This window comes from Homo sapiens, chromosome 2 (assembly GCF_000001405.40).
Source record: "Homo sapiens chromosome 2, GRCh38.p14 Primary Assembly".
NCBI lineage: Eukaryota > Metazoa > Chordata > Mammalia > Primates > Hominidae > Homo > Homo sapiens.
Window position 1 is genome coordinate 230,326,538 of NC_000002.12, and position 22,139 is coordinate 230,348,676.

Genomic DNA, 22,139 nt, shown 5'->3' on the forward strand with positions numbered 1-22,139 from the left:
CCATGCTGGCTCCAGCCTCTGGTCCCAGGGGTGTGGAGAGTTCTCTCTTACTTCTGGCTGATTTCCAGGAAGGCTAAGAACACTCTCCCCAGGTTATAATGCTGAGCATTTTGGTTCTCTCCAGCCCTGGGTCCCCATGTCAGGACCTACCTTAGTCCAGTCCATGCTCTCCCATGGGCCTGAGAGAAGATTTGAAGTTTCTGGCTTTCCCTCCAACCCTCCAACTCTCACCCCCAGCCATTTCAGCAAGGGGAAGGGGCAAACATGGAGTTTTCCCCCCAACTCCCATGTAAACTATGCCCCCTCTTAAGAGGGCAGAGCAGCTAAGGACTATTTTGGTTCAAGGACATTTTTTTTTTTTTTGCTGTCCATTGCACAAGCAAGTGGACTCCCGGAAGCCAGCCCTGCTCGTCCTCTGGGCCCTCCTTTCCCTGGTCCTGCAGGTCTTGCTGCTTGTCAGGCCTCTCCTCCAACCGTCTGCCACATTTCAGAAAAGCTGAGAACCCCTTGGAGTGAAAAAGGAGGAGAAACACGGTGTCTGTATCCCAGCAGGAAGTTAAATAAATACTTTCACTTTTCTTTTCCCCATTTGGGCAGAAATCTGTGAGGGTGAGTCAGTCTGTCGGCCGACTTCCTGCTCCGGGTCAGGGCAGCCACACTGCACGCAGGCTGGGCCGACTGGGGAGCTCATAGGCCAGGCTCTGACACCCAGGCAGGGCCTAGGGTGGGACGATGGCAGGTGGGGGCAGCGACCTGAGCACCAGGTGAGTCTTTATCTCTCTTCCTTTCACCTTTATCTCTGGCAGTATTGGAGCTTTCATGCCTGTAGTTCAGTTTCTGTCTAAAGCTTCAGTTTAGTCCTGCTTTGCAAGAACATAGGTAGGTAGTGTAATATAATGGAATAAAAGAGAATGTAATAAGGAAATCAGATTTTTACAACTGCAGCAGGACAGCTGTTTGTGTGAGTCCAGCTTGCCATAACACAGATGACTTTTCTTGTTTTGAAACTACTGCTCAGCTGGCGGGGACACTCTGAACAGTCGTTTCAGTCATTTGTGACTGAGAGTTATTATTTCCTCATGAGAATGAGGAACACAAATTATATGTTTGTGTTTCAACAAACATTTCCTCATGATCTCCCAACCCTTTCACATCCCTCTGCCCTCTCTACCTTCACATATGTCATGTCAAAGAAGGTAGTTTGGAAATAGACACTCCAGGGTAAACAGCTGGCTTACTTTTAAACATTGGAAACTGTGGTTTCACCTGTCTTGGCAAGGGGCCTCAGTCAGCTTTGGGGCTATTTCCTTGACTGACTCAGGGTGTGAGTTCTGATACAATTGACCTTGATCCAAAGAAGGAAAAAGAAGAAAAAGGCCCAGGATGGCAGAAAGCTAAATATTTTTATTTTTACTTCAATTTCCTGTCCCAAGATGGGGGATGCCTCTGACCAGAAAAGAGATGGAAATCCTATCTTTTCTCTAGTAACGAGTTTATAAATAACATTACGTAATCTTTTTATTTTATTTCATTTTTTTGAGACAGGGTCTCACTCTGTCAACCAGGCTGGAGTGCAGTGGCACAATCCCGGCTCACTGCAACCTCTGTCTCCTGGGTTCAAGCGATTTTAATCTTTTAAATTTTTTAATACAAAAGAAATACATTACATTCTTACTCATAAAATTTCAAACAGTGGAGAAGTGTATAAACGAAAAAGTCTTCTTCACCACTCACTTCGCCTTGTAGCTTCCTTTCACAGTCTTGTGAAGAGTCTTCGGCATAACTTTTCTCATATTTTTCGATGCATTTACGTGTATGAAGTATGTTTTTGTAAACATATAATTTGTGTTCTCGTTTTGTAATAAATGGAATTACATTGTGCGTGCTATTCTGCATTTTGCATTTCTACTCATTTTAATGGTGGAAATCTTAGAGATCTTTTCACCTTAATGCATATAGATCTACCTCACTCTTTTTACATATACTATTCCATAGAATTTACATAGCATAATTTTTTAACCATTCTCCAATTGAAGGACATTTAGATTGTTTTAAATTGTTCACGTTTATCAATAAGCTATAATAATGATTATATATTTCTCTTTTTTTTGCACATATGCAAGTATTTCTCTTGTGCCTAAACCTTAAAAAGTGGAATTGTTGAAGCAAAGGGTGCTGTTATTTACTTGTTTATAGATCCTGCCAAATTGTCTTTTTAGGGGGCTGAACGGAGGTGTTTCACAAGTAGCAAATGAGATGAACCATCTTCCTGCACACAGCCAAAGTCTGCAAAGGTGATGAAGAATTACAATTTGTTTTAATTTGTATTTTCCTGATAATGTGGAAAGCTGAACAGCTTTTCATGTTTCTTGGCCACTGAAATTTCCTCTTCCATAATTTTTTTGTTTATTTTTTGCCAATGTGATTCAGTTGAGGTGTTTGTCTTTTTTTCATGATATGGGAGAGTTCACTAAATATTCTGCAAAGTATAAATATACTTTTCTTGTCCCTTACATTTGTATATGGTGACTTTTATCTTATTAACAGCTTAAAATTTCATGTATAAACATCTTACGACATAGATTTTATAAGACAGATGCACCCTCATTATAAATAGTGATGCAGAGAGTTGCTGAGGCACTCTGTGAGCACGGCCAGTTTTTAAAGTCGTTCTTCTGTTAAGGTGGCAGATTTGATTCTGCCTTTGTTCCAGGAAAAGTTCCTTCTCTAAAATCTCTGACATTTTCTTTTTCAATTTTTAGGCAAAATTATTCTTACATTGGAGCAACTTCAGCCTTCACAGCTTTTATCTTCCCCGTGGTCCTTTCATCTTTTCAGTTTTTTACTTTGAGTTCACAATAGTTGTCTCAAACTTTTCCTCCATGACAATTATCTAGTGATATGGTTTGGCTCTGTGTCTCCACCCAAATCTCATCTTGAATTGTAATCAGAATTGTAATTTCCAGGTGTTGAGAGAGGGACCTGGTGGGAGGTGATTGGATCATGGGGGCAGCTTCTCCCATGCTATTCTCATGACAGTGAGTGAATTCTCCCAAGATCTGATGGTTTTGTAAATGATAGCTTCCCTTGTGCTCTCTCTCTTGCCATCTTGTGAAGAAGACACTTGCTTCTCCTTCACCTTCTGCCATGATTTTAAGTTTCCTGAGGCCTCCCCAGCCATGCAGAACTGTGTGCCAATTAAACCTCTTTCGTTTATAAATTACCCAGTCTGGGGTATTCCTTTATAGCAGTGTCAAAACAGATTAATACATCTAGCTTTCAGTAGATTTCTTGTTTCTTGTAATTTCCAATTTAAAAAAATTGATCGTGTTTATTTTTGAGGAGGGATCTTAATTTGTTTCTATAGCTCTGCAAGCTCCCCTGTATTCCACATTTTGTTCATTTCTCGTTCAATCTTCATGGTTTTTCTTTTTTAGGTTTTTGTGCAATGTTAAGAACTTTGGGATATTATTATCGTCTCTGAGATATTCTTCCAGACTGATTCTATCTGATCTTGTGTTCCATGTGCCTGCTGTGGCTTTACAACCCATCTGGGCAGGCTCGACCAGGGCAGCTCACCCTAAATATCCCATTTGCTCTGTTGTAATCTGGGAGAGTCATGGTTTTTTTCAAGGTTCCTATTTTATCTGAGAGAGACCAAATTGTTTTTCATCTGAGCTACAGTTTGAAGACTCTGTTTTTATTCTTATCAATTTTTCTGAGGACACCATTAATTATCTTACCCTTTTCCCCACTTATTGTGAACCAGGTGGCCATAGAGGCAGGGTGTGTTTCTGTGTTCTCTCTTCTCTGCCCCTGGCCTGTAAGAGCCTCTTCTTATGCCAGTACCACACTGCCGTAGCGATGGAGGCTTTCCAGGAACTCTTGACATCTGACGAGGCAAAATCTCTTCCTCTTCCTCCAAAATGTCTTAAACTTTGGGTTCCCAAATTAGCCTGTCAAAATCTTGGCATTTTGTGTGAAATTGCACTGACTCTATAGATCAATTTGAAGAGAGCCGACATATTTACAATATTATGCCTTCCATTCTCATGAATATGGCTCACGTATATGATTAGTTTAGAAATGTTTTCTATTAAAATGTATTTTTCTCTCTGAAGGTCTTGTACTTCTGCTAGATTTCTTCATAGATATTTGATATCTTTATGCTATTATTAACTATAGTAGTCCTTCTTTATCCACGGTTTCACTTTCTGAGGTTTCATTTAGTCATAGTCAACCATGGTCCAAAAACATTAAATGGAAAATTCCAGAAATAAACAATTCATGAGTTTTAAGTTACTTGCTGTTCTGAGTAGTGTGATGAAATCTCACGCTGTCCCTCTCCATCCCGCCCAGGATGCGAACTGTCCCTTTATCCAGCGTATCCACAATGTGGACACCACCAGTCCATGAGTCACTGAGTAGCCATCCTGGTAATCAGATCGGCTGTCATGGTATCTCAGTGCTTGTGTTCAGAGAACCCTGATTTTAGTCAATAAAGGCCCCAAAGCACATGAGGATTGATGCTGGCCATTCAGATATGCCAAAGAGAAGCCGTCAAGTGCTTCCTTTAAGTGAAAATGTGAAATTTCCTGAAAGAAAAAAAAAATCACATGCTAAGGTTGCTAATATCTACAGTTCAATCTTTTGAGAGAGAGAAAGAGACCACATTTACATAACTTTTATTACAGTATATTGTTATAGTTGTTCTACTTTATTATTAAATATTATTTTTAATCTCTTATTATGCCTAATTTATGTATAGATGGGGGAAAACATAGTATATACAGAGTTTGGTACTATCTGCAGTTTCAGGCATCCGCTGGGGATCTTGGAAGCATCTGCTGTGGATAAAAGGGAATGAGTGTACTAAATTCTCTCTTACATATAAATTTGTATAGGTGACCCATGTTCTAATCCATGGTTATATTTTTTATTCTTGTTTCAATACTGAACTGTTTTAGTTGCTATGATCTTCTAGGTAGTGTTCTGTAACCTGTCTTGCTGGGATTCAACTGAGAGACACTAAATGAATAGATAAATCTAACAAGAATTTACATTTTTAAAAATTCTTAATGATCCCAGCTAGAAACATGGTATATCTCTCCACTTATTTATAATTTTTTGAACTTGAGTCCTTATTGGGTCACTTTAGTGCTAGGCATTTTAAAATTGTATTTGTAAACAGGAACTCGTTTTCCTTTTACATTTTCTAGTTATTTCTTTCTGGCATAGGGGAAATCTATTTGTTTTAGTTTGATGACTTTGTGCATAGGAGACTTTCTAAGTAGTCTTCTCCCTTCTATTATTGTCTTGTTTTTTTCTGGAGAAATAATTACATCTTCAAAATAGCAGCTTTGTCTGCTCTTTTTCAGAATTTATACCGTGTATTTTTCTTTTTCTTACTTTTTTTCCTTCTTTTTCCCTTTGTGCATTAGGCAGGATTGTCAGTGTAATACTGAATAGCAACAACAAAAATGAGCATTTTTGTTTTGTTCCAGCGCTCAGGGGAACGCTTGTAATGTTTAACTTGAGACTTTCTGACAGATGCCTTTTATCAAGATAAGGACATTTTCTGCTCCGGTTTACTAAGTTATTTCTTTTAATCAAGACCATGTATAGGATATTTATCAAAATGTTTGCTAAAGAATCTTTGAGGTCATCATATCATTTTACTTTTATTAATTTTGATAATTTTTCCAAAGTAAAACATACATAGAGAGATTAAAATATCAAACAGTCAACAAGACCTTAAAATACAAAAGTAGCTCTTTCGGCCATCTTCCCCAGTCGTCGTCCAGTTTCCCAGATGGATTATCTTTAACCTTTTAGCTCTTCCTTCTGTACTTACTTCTGTAATTTGAAAAGATATGCAGATACAGCTCTTTGTAATTTTTCAAGTTCCAGACATTAATCTGTTCACATAATAGGGCAGAAGATGAAGACTTCTCCCCTAACACTCCTTTTCATTCCCCATCCATTCTCGTAATACATCACAGTTTGAGGTTCATCAGTAATCAGTGTTATCGTTATGAGGGTTATTTAAATGATGTTCATAACCAAGTCATATACTATGTGATGATCACATTTCCTTTCCTGTGCAACATCTTTCCCAAAAATAACTATTGCCCTCTTACACATTTGCTTGGATTTTGTGTGCCCTTGTTATGAATTCTTCCCAGGCACCCTGCAGAATTCTAAAATTCTTCTCAGGACAGTGAGGCACATTGTGTAACTTATCAATTCCGTTTTATTTTCTTGGGGGAGCCCTTCTGGAGCTACCCATTCTGCTGATCCAATTAGTTCTGGTTAGTTTCAGCTTCCAAGACTGACCTTCTGAAGCTAGACATCTCTCCTGTGTTGGGTCTTGTTTTATGGATTACATGTATCTTCTTTCTTGCTTTACTATCTCATTTTGGCTTACCGCATTATCCAGTAGCCTCCTGACTAAGAGTTCATAGAAGGTATATATCTTAAGATCATTCATATCTGGAAAAAAAATTATTCTTAAACCTCACAACTGTATGAAAATTTGGTAAATCTAAATGTATAGTTTGGAAATTAATTTGGTTAACTGCCTTGCAGTTTTCAGCATTGCTAATAAGAAGTCGAATGCCATTCTGATTTTTTTTTTTTTTTGATGGAGTCTCGCTCTTTCTCCAGGCTGGAGTGCAGTGGCACAATCTCAGCTCACTGCAACCTCCACCTCCCAGGTTCAAGTGATTCTCCTGCCTCAGCCTCCCGAGTAGCTGGGACTACAGGTGCCCACCACCACGTCTGGCTAATTTTTTGTATTTTTAGTAGAGACAGGGTTTCACCATGTTTGCCAGGAAGGTCTCAATCTCTTGACCTCATGATCCACTCGCTTCGGCCTCCCAAAGTGCTGGGATTACAGGCATAAGCCACCGCGCCCGACCCCCATTCTGATTCTTGATCCTGTCTTTCTATGTCACCTGTTTTGCCTCTCTGAAACTTTCTGGCTCATCTCTTTAATCCCTTGATTCTAAATTCTCATGATGGTTTGCCTTGGCGTGAGTGTTGTGCTTAGTTCTCCGGGGTCCTTTCAAATGGAGACCAATTTATTTCAATTCTCATCATTTTGCTTGTGATATTATTTAATTATTTTCTCCCTTCTGCCTTATCTCTCTGTTTTATGTTTTGGAATTCCTGTTAGTTGGATATTGGGTTTCCTAGGTTGATCCTCTAGAGATTTTTTGTTTTTTTTTCTTGACAATCTTGTATGTCTTCTTCTTTTGAATCTACCTTCTATGACATTTTCTCAGGACCTTCATTTCTTCTAGTGATTTAAAAATTTCTGCCATGATATTTTTAATTTCCAAAAGCCCTTTTAAAAAGTTGTTTCTCGTTTATAGCATCTTGTTGTTGTTGTTTCAAGAAATCCAATATTTTCTCTCTCCTAATGAGGATGATGATTTTTAGAATTGCATCTGTTCCTTCCAGGTTTCTTTCGCAGCTCCTGCTCCAATATTTGCTTGTTCTGAAAGAATTCATCAAGTGTCCATTGGGTGTCCATTCACATTTCAGAACGAGACACTAGAAATCTGACTAGAAGCTCTGTGTAAGGAATGCCTCTCGTTGACTGTACCCCATTTTGATTTTCATCTTCCAATTTATCCTCTGAAGGAACAGTGCCTCTAATTACTAACCACTTCCAGAGTTTGAAAGCATACATGGGCTTACTCCTTGTCAGCATTTCCTCTGCAAGTAATCAGGTATTTTATTCTTTCATTCTGTGAAACTAGCTGCCATGTATGCACCTACCTTCTGAAATGTTTGGTTGTCTCTTATTTGATGTCCTTTCCTCTCCTGTTCCCTGGTTCCTGCTGCTTTTCTGCCTGTAACTCTCTATTACAGGTGGTTTCATGGGATTTCACAGGGAACAAAGATGAATGCAGATGTGTTCAACCCGCCAGGCTTAATGAAATACATAGATCGATTATCTAATGTGATTTGTCCTGGAATTCCTGAGATAACACCTACGTGGTCATGTCACATGATTTTTTCATCCATTCCAGTGTTGGATTTACATGTATTTTATTGTGGGATTTTGCCTTATGTGTTTTTAAGCAACAGTTTTTATTTTGTATTTGCTTGATGTTGATAGCGAAACTATAACAGCCTTATGAAATAATTGAGGGTGATTAAAATTATATGTATATATATATATATAAATGGTTTCTTTAATACAGACATTACCTGTTCCTTGAAGGATTGCTAAAAATTGTCCATTAAATGATTTGAAACCAATGTCTGTGTGTAGGTGTGGGGTGAAATGTAGTTTAGGGTAAGTCTGCAAGCATATTATGCATTTCTTCTATTATTTTTAGTTCTCATGCTGACCTTTGAGGCAGTTTTTATCATTTATATTGTCCTAAAGTATATTTTCCCTAGATTCTCTTATTTATTGGTAGAAAGTTGTATCGAAATTTCTCTTATAAAGTTTTAATTCTTTCCTTCTCTGAAGACATATCATTTTTTAAACTCCTAACGTTGTTTATTGTTGTCTTTTCCTTTGTTCTTTTGATCAATCTTTCCATTTTGTTGGTCTTTTCAATGAACCACTTTTTGCTTTTATTGATCCATTACTCTTATTTTTTGTTTGAGATATAATTAAATCTTGCTTAACATTTTTATATTTTTCTATTTATTTTCTTTCCTAATTCTTTACTTCAACTTTGTTGAGGGGATTACCTTGTGTTCTGTTTCTGATACCTTGCTTTAAAACTTAATCTACTTGTCAGTGTTTCTTATTTTCTAATAAATGCATGTTAGGCCATGAATATTCACCTCTGTGCCACTTTGGAAACGTTTGGCCTTTATAATGTACAGTGTTTTCACTGGAGTTTCTTAGCCGTTTGTTATTTTGATTTTGATTTCCTGATTAACCTAAGAAGCGTCTGGAAGCAGCTTTTAAAATTTCTCAGTGGAACGAGTTGGGGAAGTCGTCCTCTGTCCTTGGGTTGTTTACTCTGATCCTATCACATTGTGGTTAGAAAATGTGTTTTTTAGGATTTTGGTTTGTGAGAGTCTACTGTTGTTTTTTTTGTGGCCTAGTGCATAGTCATTTTTGAGGCTTTGCCACATTTGAAAGGCAATATAATGTAATGATTAAGAGTGTGGTAACTAATGTCAGATGGGAGAGAAAGTGGGAGGGGAAGAGAGGATCAACACTAGGATGATTGGAGAGGGACGGTGTGAAGTCCAGCTCTGCCACTGCATAGATGTGGAGGTGGGGCAAGCCTTGTTTCTTCCCTATAAAATGATGGTATCAACAATGGTGTTACCAGTGGGCTGGTACAGGTTCTTGTCTTCACCCCAGAAAAGAATTTGAAGGCCAGACCAAACTGAAAGTACAGAAGATTTATTGCAGCGTGAAAGCAAGTACATACTCAAGAGAGGATTGTGAGTGTGCTCAAAAGAATAAGCTGAACCCAATATGGCCAGGACTCACATACTATACAGATAAGCATAATGAAGGTGTGGAATATTCCATCATAAGAGGAGGGATTTTCTGGGAAATGGGCAGGCAGTTCCCAGAATTGGATTGCCACTTTTTTCTTTACTAAATATGGTTAATCCAGAATTGACATGGCATCAGATGCATGATGGGATTGGGAGGTTTCCCCGTGGAAGTCTTATAGTAATAGGGGCATAATGCAGTCAAGGGTCCACAGCCAGTCAAGTTTCTGGCCATCTTGGATTAAACCAGTTGTGGTTGATTTCTTCTTTGTTACATTCTTATCTGTGCCTAATCTAGAACGTCTAAATTGTCTTTATTTTTGCAGCCTGTTGCAACAGTTCCTTTCCACTAAGGGGTGGGTCCTTGAGCTAAACTATTTGGCCCCATTTGTTTTGCTTTTAGCTACCTGCAAGTAATTATGTCTTGTTCCCTCACTAACTGCCTACCACCTGTTTCATGAGAATCTATGAGGAGGAAACAAGTTAAGCTACGCACCAAGCACTTAGAAGAGTGAGTACCTCATACAGAGTGAGTACTCAGAAATGTCAGATATTTTTTAATGTACTGAAACAAGTTATAACCTCTTCATTACACATCTACTTAACCCAGAATGCTCATTATTTTATTCAAATCTTTAACTTGATTTAATTTTGACTTACTGGACTTGTCAACTTCTAACAGAGATGCCTTAACATTTTTTTACTACAATTGTGAGTTTTTCAGTTTTCCTATATCACTGTCAGACTTTCCTTTCAATATTTTAAAGCAATTTTCTTACAGATCATGACTTCTACTACATAGACTGGTAGAATATATCTTTTATCAGTATGCAAAAAACTTCTGTGCTGTTTGTATTACTCTTCAGTCTAAATTCTGTTTGTTTCTGATGTCAGTTTTGCCACAGAGCTCTCTTTTATTTTGCATTTGCCTGGTGTGTTGTATTAGTCTGTTCTTGCACTGCTCTAGATAAATACCTGAGACTAGGTAATTTATAAAGAAAAGAGGTTTAATGGCGTTTCTAGTTCTAGATCCTTGAGGAATCGCCACACTGACTTCCACAATGGTTGAACTAGTTTACAGTCCCACCAACAGTGTAAAAGTGTTCCTTTTTCTCCACATCCTCTCCAGCACCTGTTGTTTCCTGACTTTTTAATGATTGCCATTCTAACTGGTGTGAGATGGTATCTCATTGTGGTTTTGATTTGCATTTCTCTGATGGCCAGTGATGATGAGCATTTTTTCATGTGTCTTTTGGCTGCATAAATGTCTTCTTTTGAGAAGTGTCTGTTCATATCCTTCGCCCACTTTTTGATCGGGTTGTTTGTTTCTTTCTTGTAAATTTGTTTAAGTTCATTGTAGATTCTGGATATTAACCCTTTGTCAGATGAGTAGGTTGCAAAAATTTTCTCCCATTTTGTAGGTTGCCTGTTCACTCTGATGGTAGTTTCTTTTGCTGTGCAGAAGCTCTTTAGTTTAATTAGATCCCATTTGTCAATTTTGTCTTTTGTTGCCATTGCTTTTGGTGTTTTAGACATGAAGTCCTTGCCCATGCCTATGTCCTGAATGGTAATGCCTATGTTTTCTTCTAGGGTTTTTATGGTTTTAGGTCTAACATGTAAGTCTTTAATCCACCTTGAATTAATTTTTGTATAAGGTGTAAAGAAGGGATCCAGTTTCAGCTTTCTACATATGGCTAGCCAGTTTTCCCAGCACCATTTATTAAATAGGGAATCCTTTCCCCATTGCTTGTTTTTCTCAGGTTTGTCAAAGATCAGATAGTTGTAGATACGCAGCGTTATTTCTGAGGGCTCTGTTCTGTTCCGTTGATCTATATCTCCGTTTTGGTACCAGTACCATGCTGTTTTGGTTACTGTAGCCCTGTAGTATAGTTTGAAGTCAGGTAGCATGATGCCTCCAGCTTTGTTCTTTTGGCTTAGGATTGACTTGGCAATGCGGGCTCTTTTTTGGTTCCATATGAACTTTAAAGTAGTTTTTTCCAGTTCTGTGAAGAAAGTCATTGGTAGCTTGATGGGGATGGCATTGAATCTGTAAATTACCTTGGGCAGTATGGCCATTTTCACGATATTGATTCTTCCTACCCATGAGCATGGAATGTTCTTCCATTTGTTTGTATCCTCTTTTATTTCCTTGAGCAGTGGTTTGTAGTTCTCCTTGAAGAGGTCCTTCACATCCCTTGTAAGTTGGATTCCTAGATATTTTATTCTCTTTGAAGCAATTGTGAATGGGAGTTCACTCATGATTTGGCTCTCTGTTTGTCTGTTGTTGGTGTATAAGAATGCTTGTGATTTTTGTACATTGATTTTGTATCCTGAGACTTTGCTGAAGTTGCTTATCAGCTTAAGGAGATTTTGGGCTGAGACAATGGGGTTTTCTAGATATAGAATCATGTCATCTGCAAACAGGGACAATTTGACTTCCTCTTTTCCTAATTGAATACCCTTTATTTCCTTCTCCTGCCTAATTGCCCTGGCCAGAACTTCCAACACTATGTTGAATAGGAGTGGTGAGAGAGGGCATCCCTGTCTTGTGCCAGTTTTCAAAGGGAATGCTTCCAGTTTTTGCCCATTCAGTATGATATTGGCTGTGGGTTTGTCATAGATAGCTCTTATTATTTTGAAATACGTCCCATCAATACCTAATTTATTGAGAGTTTTTAGCATGAAGAGTTGTTGAATTTTGTCAAAGGCTTTTTCTGCATCTATTGAGATAATCATGTGGTTTTTGTCTTTGGCTCTGTTTATATGCTGGATTACATTTATTGATTTGCGTATATTAAACCAGCCTTGCATCCCAAGGATGAAGCCCACTTGATCATGGTGGATAAGCTTTTTGATGTGCTGCTGGATTCGTTTTGCCAGTATTTTATTGAGGATTTTTGCATCAATGTTCATCAAGGATATTGGTCTAAAATTCTCTTTTTTTGTTGTGTCTCTGCCTGGCTTTGGTATCAGAATGATGCTGGCCTCATAAAATGAGTTAGGGAGGATTCCCTCTTTTTCTATTGATTGGAATAGTTTCAGAAGGAATGGTACCAGTTCCTCCTTGTACCTCTGGTAGAATTCGGCTGTGAATCCATCTGGTCCTGGACTCTTTTTGGTTGGTAAGCTATTGATTATTGCCACAATTTCAGCTCCTGTTATTGGCCTATTCAGAGATTCAACTTCTTCCTGGTTTAGTCTCGGGAGAGTGTATGTGTCCAGGAATTTATCCATTTCTTCTAGATTTTCTAGTTTATTTGCGTAGAGGTGTTTGTTGTATTCTCTGATGGTAGTTTGTATTTCTGTGGGATCGGTGGTGACATCCCCTTTATCATTTTTTATTGCGTCTATTTGATTCTTCTCTCTTTTTTTCTTTATTAGTCTTGCTAGCGGTCTATCAATTTTGTTGATCCTTTCAAAAAACCAGCTCCTGGATTCATTAATTTTTGAAGGGTTTTTTGTGTCTCTATTTCCTTCAGTTCTGCTCTGATTTTAGTTATTTCTTGCCTTCTGCTAGCTTTTGAATGTGTTTGCTCTTGCTTTTCTAGTTCTTTCAATTGTGATGTTAGGGTGTCAATTTTGGATCTTTCCTGCTTTCTCTTGTGGGCATTTAGTGCTATAAATTTCCCTCTACACACTGCTTTGAATGCATCCCAGAGATTCTGGTATGTTGTGTCTTTGTTCTCGTTGGTTTCAAAGAACATCTTTATTTCTGCCTTCATTTTGTTATGTACCCAGTAGTCATTCAGGAGCAGGTTGTTCAGTTTCCATGTAGTTGAGCGGTTTTGAGTGAGATTCTTAATCCTGAGTTCTAGTTTGATTGCACTGTGGTCTGAGAGATAGTTTGTTATAATTTCTGTTCTTTTACATTTGCTGAGGAGAGCTTTACTTCCCAGTATGTGGTCAATTTTGGAATAGGTGTGGTGCTGAAAAAAATGTATATTCTGTTGATTTGGGGTGGAGAGTTCTGTAGATGTCTATTAGGTCCGCTTGGTGCAGAGCTGAGTTCAATTCCTGGGTATCCTTGTTGACTTTCTGTCTCGTTGATCTGTCTAATATTGACAGTGGGGTGTTAAAGTCTCCCATTATTAATGTGTGGGAGTCTAAGTCTCTTTGTAGGTCACTCAGGACTTGCTTTATGAATCTTGGTACTCCTGTATTGAGTGCATATATATTTAGGATAGTTAGCTCTTCTTGTTGAATTGATCCCTTTACCATTATGTAATGGCCTTCTTTGTCTCTTTTGATCTTTGTTGGTTTAAAGTCTGTTTTATCAGAGACTAGGGTTGCAACCCCTGCCTTTTTTTGTTTTCCATTGGCTTGGTAGATCTTCCTCCATCCTTTTATTTTGAGCCAATGTGTGTCTCTGCACGTGAGATGCGTTTCCTGAATACAGCACACTGATGGGTCTTGACTCTTTATCCAATTTGCCAGTCTGTGTCTTTTACTTGGAGCATTTAGTCCATTTACATTTAAAGTTAATATTGTTATGTGTGAATTTGATCCTGTCATTATGATGTTAGCTGGTTATTTTGCTCGTTAGTTGATGCAGTTTCTTCCTAGTCTCGATGGTCTTTACATTTTGGCATGATTTTGCAGCGGCTGGTACCGGTTGTTCCTTTCCATGTTTAGTGCTTCCTTCAGGAGCTCTTGTAAGGCAGGCCTGGTGGTGACAAAATCTCTCAGCATTTGCTTGTCTGTAAAGTATTTTATTTCTCCTTCACTTATGAAGCTTAGTTTGGCTGGATATGAAATTCTGGGTTGAAAATTCTTTTCTTTAAGAATGTTGAATATTGGCCCCCACTCTCTTCTGGCTTGTAGGGTTTCTGCTGAGAGATCCGCTGTTAGTCTGATGGGCTTCCCTTTGAGGGTAACCCGAGCTTTCTCTCTGGCTGCCCTTAACATTTTTTCCTTCATTTCAACTTTGGTGAATCTGACAATTATGTGTCTTGGAGTTGCTCTTCTCGAGGAGTATCTTTGTGGCGTTCTCTGTATTTCCTGAATCTGAACATTGGCCTGCCTTGCTAGATTGGGGAAGTTCTCCTGGATAATATCCTGCAGAGTGTTTTCCAACTTGGTTCCATTCTCCCCATCACTTTCAGGTACACCAATCAGACGTAGATTTGGTCTTTTCACATAGTCCCATATTTCTTGGAGGCTTTGCTCATTTCTTTTTATTCTTTTTTCTCTAAACTTCCCTTCTTGCTTCATTTCATTCATTTCATCTTCCATCGCTGATACCCTTTGTTCCAGTTGATCGCATCGGCTCCTGAGGCTTCTGCATTCTTCACGTAGTTCTCGAGCCTTGGTTTTCAGCTCCATCAGCTCCTTTAAGCACTTCTCTGTATTGGTTATTCTAGTTATACATTCTTCTAAATTTTTTTCAAAGTTTTCAACTTCTTTGCCTTTGGTTTGAATGTCCGCCCGTAGCTCAGAGTAATTTGATCGTCTGAAGCCTTCTTCTCTCAGCTCGTCAAAGTCATTCTCCATCCAGCTTTGTTCTGTTGCTGGTGAGGAACTGTGTTCCTTTGGAGGAGGAGAGGTGCTCTGCTTTTTAGAGTTTCCAGTTTTTCTGTTCTGTTTTTTCCCCATCTTTGTGGTTTTATCTACTTTTGGTCTTTGATGATGGTGATGTACAGATGGGTTTTTGGTGTGGATGTCCTTTCTGTTTGTTAGTTTTCCTTCTAACAGAGAGGACCCTCAGCTGCAGGTCTGTTGGAGTAACCGGCCATGTGAGGTGTCAGTGTGCCCCTGCTGGGGGGTGCCTCCCAGTTAGGCTGTTCGGGGGTCAGGGGTCAGGGACCCACTTGAGGAGGCAGTCTGCCCGTTCTCAGATCTCCAGCTGCGTGCTGGGAGAACCACTGCTCTCTTCAAAGCTGTCAGACAGGGACATTTAAGTCTGCAGAGGTTACTGCTGTCTTTTTGTTTGTCTGTGCCCTGCCCCCAGAGGTGGAGCCTAGAGAGACAGGCAGGCCTCCTTGAGCTGTGGTGGGCTCCACCCAGTTCGCGCTTCCCGGCTGCTTTGTTTACCTAAGCAAGCCTGGGCAATGGCGGGCGCCCCTCCCCCAGCGTCACTGCCGCCTTGCAGTTTGATCTCAGACTGCTGTGCTAGCAATCAGTGAGAGTCCGTGGGCGTAGGACCTTCCGAGCCAGGTGTGGGATATAATCTCGTGGTGCGCCGTTTTTTAAGCCCGTCGGAAAAGCGCAGTATTCAGGTGGGAGTGACCCGATTTTCCAGGTGCCTTCCGTCACCCCTTTCTTTGACTCAGAAAGGGAACTCCCTGACCCCTTGCGCTTCCCAAGTGAGGCAATGCCTCGCCCTGCTTCCGCTCGCGCACGGTGCGTGCACCCACTGACCTGCGCCCACTGTCTGGCACTCTCTAGTGAGATGAACCCAGTACCTCAGATGGAAATGCAGAAATCACCCATCTTCTGCGTCGCTCACGCTGGGAGCTGTAGACCGGAGCTGTTCCTATTCGGCCATCTTGGCTCCCGGAGCCTGCGTTTTTCTTTAATGGAAAGGTTTTTTTTTCCTACTTATTCAATCAGTTTACTTATTATTGGTCTCTTCAGATTATCTGTTTTTTCATGATTCAGTCTTGGTAGGTTGTATGTTTCTAGGAATTTATCTATTTCTTCTAGGTTATCCAATTTGTTGATGCATAATTGTTCATAGTAGCCTAATGATTCTTTGAATTACTGTGTTATTAGTTGTAATCTTTCCTGTCTCATTTATAAGTTTTAAGTTCTGTCTCTTATTTCCCTTGGTTAGTCTAGCTAAAGATTTATCCTTTTTTTTAAAATCTTTTCAAAGAACCAAGTCTGAGTTTTGTTGATCTTTTCTACTGTTTTCCTATTCCGTATTTATTTCTGCTCTAATCTACATTATTTTCTCCCTTCTCCTTACTTTGTGCTTAGTTTGCCTTTCTTCATCAGGTGTAAAGCTACGTTGTTGGAGATTTTTCTTTTTTCCAAGTGTTTATAGCTATAAACCTGATAGAATTGCTCCTGCTGCATCCCATAAGTTTTGGTGTGTTTTGTTTTCTTTTATTTGTCTTTCCTTTTTCTTCCCTTCAACTTTTAAGTTCAGGGGTACATGTGCAGGATGTGCAGGTTTGTTACATAGGTAAACATGTGCCATGGTGTTTGTTGCACAGATCATCCTAGGTATTAAGCCCAACATCCATTAGCTATTCTTCCTGATGCTGTCCCTCTCCCTACACCCCCGACAGGTGCCCAGAGTGTGTTGTTCCTCCCATGTGTTCATGTGTTCTCAACATTCCGCTCCCACTTATAAGTTAGAACATGTGGTGTTTGGTTTTCTGTTCCTGAATTAGTTTGCTGAGGATAATGACTTCCAATTCCATCCATGTCCCTGCAAAGGACATGATCTTGTTCCTATTTATGGGTGCATAGTATTCCATGGTGTATGTGTACCACATTTTCTTTATCCAGTCTATCATTGATGGGCATTTAGGTGGATTACATGTTTTTGCTATTGTGAATAGTGCTGCAATGAGCATACATGTGGTTGTATCTTTATAATAGAATGATTTATATTCCTTTGGGTATATATCCAGTAATGGGATTGCTGGGTCAAATGGTATTTCTGCCTCTAGGTCTCTGAGGAATTGCCACACTGTCTTCCACAATGGTTGAACTTACACTCCCAAAAACAGTGTAAAAGCATTTCTTTTTCTTTGCAACCTCACCAGCATCTATTGTTTTTTGACTTTTTAATATAGCCATTCTGACCAGTGTGAGATAATATCTCATGTGGTTTTGATTTGCAAAGGACATGAACTCATCCTTTTTTATGGCTGCTTTCTTAATCTTGGTCTGATTTGATTGTGCTGTGATCTGAGAAACTGTTATGATTACTGTTTTTTTTGCATTTGCTGAGGAGTATTTTACTTCTGATTATGTGATCAACTTTTGACTAAGTGCTGTGTGGTGATGGGAAGAATGTGTATTCTGTTGTTTTTGAGTGGAGAGTTCTGTAGATATCTATCAGGTCTACTTAATCCAGAGCTGAATCAGGCCCTGAATATCTTTGTTTATTTTCTGACTCGATGATGTGTCTAATATTGTCAGTGGGGTGGTAAAGTCTCACACTATTACTGTGTGAGAGTCTAAGTCTCTTTGTAGGTTTCTAATAACCTGCTTTATGAATCTGGGTGCTCCTGTATTGGGTGCATGTATATTTCAGATAGCTCTTCTTGTTGAATTGAACCCTTTACCATTATGTAATGTTCTCTTTGTCTTTTTAAAATCTTTGTTAGTTTAAAGTCTGTTCTGTCAGAAACTAGGATCAAAACTCCTGCATTTTACTGTTTTCTATTTGCTTGGTAAATTTTCCTCCATCCCTTGGTTTTGAGCCTATGTGTATCTTTGCACATGAGATAGGTCTCTTGAAGATGGCATACCGATGGGTCATGGCTCTTTATCCAGTTTGCCATTCTGTGGTTTCTTTAACTGGGGCATTTAGCCCATTTACATTTGAGGTTAGTATTGTTATGTGTGAATTTGATCCTGCCACCATGATGCTAGCTGGTTATTTTGCAGACTAGTTTATGTGGTTGCTTCATAGTGTCACTGCGCTGTGTACTTCAGTGTGTTTTTGTAGTGGCTGGTAATGGTTTTTCCTTTCCATATTTAGTGCTTCCTTTCCATAGTGTTTTGTTTTCATTTTTGTTTGCCTCATAATATTTTTAAATTACCCTTTTGGCTTCTTCTTTGACCTATTGGATATTCAAGAATGTATTGTTTAACTTCCCTACATTATTTATGTATACCTTACAGAATTTATGAATTCTCTGAATTTCCTCCTGTTATGGATTTCGAGTTTCATACCACTGTGGTCAGAAAAGCACTTGGTATGATTTCAGTCTTCTTGAATTTATTAAGACTTCTTTTGTGGCCTAACATGTACACTTGAGTAGAATATGTGTTTTGCTGCTGTTCAGTGAAATGTTCTGTATATGTCTTTTAGGTCCATTTGATCTAAAGTCTGGTTCAAGATCAAAATCCTTATGATTTTCTGTCTGATTCATCTGTCATTGTTAAGGGTGAGGTATTAAAGTCCCTTACTATTATTGTATTGCTGTTTCTTCCTCCTTTCAGATTGGTTAGTATTTGCTTTAGCTATTTAGGTATTCCAATGCTATTGTCAAAATATTTACAACTGTTATATCCTCTTGATGAATTGGCCCCTTTATCCTTATATATTGACCCTCTTTGTCTTATGTGGCCATTTTTTACTTAATGTGTATTTTGTCCAACATAAAGATAGTTACCACTGCTTTCGTTTGGTCACTTTTTGCATTGGATATCTTTTTCCATACCTTCACCTTCAGCCTACATGTGTTCTTAAACCTACCATGAGTCTCTTACATGCAGCAACTTGTTGGATCTTGTGGGGTTTTCATAATCCATTCAGGTACTCTATTTCTTTTGATTGGAGAATTTAATCCATTTATTGATAGGTGAGAACTTACTATTGCTGTTTTGTTATTTGTATTCTGGCTGTTTTGTAATTTGTATTCTGGCTGTTTTGTAGTTCTTTTTTTTTTTTCCTTTCTTTTTTTCTTGTGGCATTCCTTTGTGAGTTGATGAATTTTAAAGTGATATGCTTTGACTCCTTTCTCCTTTGTGGTTACTGTGAGGCTTACATAAAATATCTTATAGCTATATCATCTGATTTTAAGCTAACAACTTCAACCACATATAAAACTCTACACTTTTGTTTCTCTCCTCCCTCATATTTTAATTGACTAATGTTACAATTTACATATTTTTATATTGGATATCTAAAACCAAATTACTATAGTTATACTTATTTAAATGTTTGATTTTTAATTTTTATGCTAGAATTGAAAGTGATTTATGCACAATCATTACAATATAAGAGATTTCTGACTTTGACTAAATTTTACCTTTACTGGTGAGTTTTGTATATTTATATATTGTTATGTTGTTAACTAATACCATCTCATTGCAGCTTGAAGAACTAGAACTCACTTTAGCAGTTCTTGTAAGACAAGTCTACTGATGATGAACTCCTTCAACTTTTGTTTTTTTGGAAAAACCTTTATCACGCCTTCATTTAAGATAGATAGATTTACCAAGTGTAACACTCTTGGTTGGCAGTTTTTTTTCTTTCAATATTTTGAATGTGTCACCCTAATCTCTCCTGGGCTGAGAAGAGGAGGTTTCCACTGAAAACTTTACTGTTAGTCTTATGAGGGCTCCATTTTTTGTGATAAGTTATGCTTTCCTTGCTGCTTTCAAAATTATCTTTTTGTCTTTTGATAATTTAATTATAATACTTATTGGTGTAGAATTGTATTGTTGAACCTGTTTGGGGAACTTTGGGCCTCAAGAACATAAATGTCCATTTCTCTCCCCAAATTTGGGAAGTTTTTAGTCATTACTTCTTTAAATTGACTTTCTGCTCATTTTTCTTTCTCTCTTCTTCTGTAATTTCCATAATTTGTATGTTGTTTCACTTGATGGTGTCCCATAAACACAATAGGCTTTTTTTCACTCATTTTCATTCTTTGTTCTTTTTGCTCCTCTAAGTAGATAATTTCAAATGACTTCTCTTTCAGTTCACTGATTCTTTCTTCTGCTTAAGTAAGCTGTTGGAATTTTCTGTTAAATTGTTCAGTTCAGTCATTGTATTTTTTAGATCTAGGATTTCTGGGGGTTTGTTTAATGGTTCCTATTTTTTATTGGCATTATATTTTGTTTATATATTGTTTTCTGATTTTGTTGAGTTGTCCATCTGTGTTCTCTTGTAGTTCACCGAACTTTTTAAAGAGAATTATTCTGAATGTCAGTTAGCTCATAGACCTTCATTTCTTTAGAGTCAGTTGTTAGAGCTTATTAATTTCTTTTAGGGGTTTTATTTTTTGCTGATTTTTTATGATCCTTGTATCCTCACATTAGTGTCTGTACATTTGAGGAAGAAGTAACCTCTTCCAACCTTTATAGGTTTGCTTTGGCATGGAAAGCCCTTTAGTAGTCAGTGTTTCCTGGAGATCTGGACAGGTCAGCTGGTAGCATCCATGAATAGTCACAGTTTGCTTTTGAGATCTCTAGTTGTGCAGGATTATTGCCTGTGCTCTGGTGTTTGCTGGGGCCACTGGCTCGCCTGTATGGTTTGTTGAGTGTTTTGGTTGGACTCTTTGGTTGGGCAGGGCTACTGGCTGGCTTCTGAGATGGAACAAGACCTCAAGCTACTGTTCAGTGGGACCACAGGTTAGGCTCTGTGATTAATCAGGGTTGCAGGCTGTGTTTTGCAGTTGGGTTGAGTCACTGTCTGGGTTCTCTTCCAGAGTAGAACCACTGGCTGTGCTTCAGTGTCAATCAGTATTGTTATCAGGTACCTGGGTTTGGTGGGGCCACAGGCTATGCCCCAGCTTGCTGCAAGCTGGGCTCCTCTGTCAGATGGGATCATTCTCTGGAATCCCTGGTTAGGCAGAACTGCAGGCTGTGCCCCTCAGTTGGGAGGTGTCCTTGGCTTTGTTTACTGTCCATGCAGGTCGCTGGCTGGCCACTGAGGCTGGGCAGGGTTACTATTTGGGCTTCCTGGTTAGCAAGGCTAGAGGCCATACTCTGTAGTTAGGCAGAGTGGCTGGCTCGATTACCTGCGTGGTCAAGGACGTATGTTAGGCTTTGAGGCTGGGCAGAATCTCTTTGGGGGTTCCCTGGTCCAACAAGACAGAAAGCTAAACCCTGTAGCTGGCCTGGATTGCTGACTAGGCACCCAAGCCAGTTAGAATTGCTGACTATGCTCCCTGGCCAAATAGGGTCACCAGCTTGCCTCTGCAGTTGGGCAGAGCTGCTGGCTGAGCTCTCTGCTAGGGTGCTGATGGCAGGAACACAGTACCAGCATGGTGATCCATGCACTGGCCACTGTGAACCCTGCCCTCACTTCTTCATTTCTGGTCAAACACAGGTGGTCTAGCCCCACTGATTTCCTCTTTGTTTCCCATGAGACAAGACAGAAGTGGGCCTCCTAAGATGTAGCACAGAATGCTACAGAAGCTGGATGTCCTCCTCAGGCTCTCTTTTCCCCACTGGAGAAACTTTGGGCTCAGGAAAACCCTCTTGATATGGCACTTTGCCAGCCTTGGGGAGGAGCAACACAGTCAAAGTGAAACTGTATGACTCAAGAATTTAACTGCTAAACATCTACCTAGAAATGAAAACGTATATCCACACAAAGACTTGCATGCGAATATAGTAACATTATAGTAACAGTAACGTGATAGTTAACTTTCACAAAATCTATCGTACACTGTTTCCAGAAGACCATTTCATAGCAATGTGTAAGGGTTCCAGTTTTTCCACATCTTTGCTAAAACTTGTTATTGTATGTGTTTATAGCCATTCCAATGAATGCATATTAGTATTTTGTTGTGGTTTGAATTTGCTTTTCTCTAATGACTAATGATACTGAGCATCTCTTCTTGTCTTTATTATCTTCCATGTGTCTTTCGGAGAAATATCTGTTCAAATCATTTGCCCATTTTTAAATTGGGTTATCTTCTTATAGAGCTGTCAGAATTCTTTACATACCTGAATATAAGTAGTTTATTGAAAATATAATTGGCTAATATTTTCTCCCAGACTGTGCCTAGTCTTTTCTT

At 38.9% G+C, this 22,139-nt stretch overlaps 1 protein-coding gene across 21 annotated transcripts in view, besides 5 other annotated features; it reads left to right on the forward strand.

Moving 5' to 3' along the window:
• Window positions 330-799: an enhancer, noted in NCBI's record as "active region_17218". NCBI's record gives its function as "activates an Ori minimal core promoter by ATAC-STARR-seq in GM12878 lymphoblastoid cells {active_cell/tissue: GM12878}" and the evidence as "EXISTENCE:reporter gene assay evidence [ECO:0000049][PMID:35858748]".
• Window positions 656-22,139, forward strand: part of SP140L (SP140 nuclear body protein like) — a 76,540-nt gene continuing 55,056 nt past the window's right edge. For 13 of the 21 annotated variants that reach the window (XM_047446412.1, XM_047446413.1, NM_138402.6 and 10 more), the window contains exons 1-2: window positions 656-764; window positions 2,220-2,294. In XM_047446412.1, the coding sequence (XP_047302368.1) occupies window positions 733-764; window positions 2,220-2,294 (107 nt within the window). In that variant the 5' untranslated portion in view covers window positions 656-732. The remainder of the gene's footprint in view (window positions 765-2,219; window positions 2,295-22,139) is intronic. The other 8 variants (NR_148198.2, XM_047446415.1, XM_047446416.1 and 5 more) reach the window with 1 other exon arrangement.
• Window positions 15,093-15,684: an enhancer, noted in NCBI's record as "H3K27ac-H3K4me1 hESC enhancer chr2:231206345-231206936 (GRCh37/hg19 assembly coordinates)". NCBI's record gives its function as "activates a minimal SCP1, AML or CMV promoter by ChIP-STARR-seq in naive H9 embryonic stem cells {active_cell/tissue: H9 hESC(naive)}" and the evidence as "EXISTENCE:reporter gene assay evidence [ECO:0000049][PMID:30033119]".
• Window positions 15,093-15,722: a biological region, named in NCBI's record as "H3K27ac-H3K4me1 hESC enhancer GRCh37_chr2:231206345-231206936".
• Window positions 15,531-15,722: a silencer, noted in NCBI's record as "fragment chr2:231206783-231206974 (GRCh37/hg19 assembly coordinates)". NCBI's record gives its function as "represses an EF-1alpha promoter that drives an FKBP-Casp9 reporter gene in an ReSE screen in HepG2 liver carcinoma cells {active_cell/tissue: HepG2}" and the evidence as "EXISTENCE:reporter gene assay evidence [ECO:0000049][PMID:32094911]".
• Window positions 21,408-21,747: an enhancer, noted in NCBI's record as "active region_17219". NCBI's record gives its function as "activates an Ori minimal core promoter by ATAC-STARR-seq in GM12878 lymphoblastoid cells {active_cell/tissue: GM12878}" and the evidence as "EXISTENCE:reporter gene assay evidence [ECO:0000049][PMID:35858748]".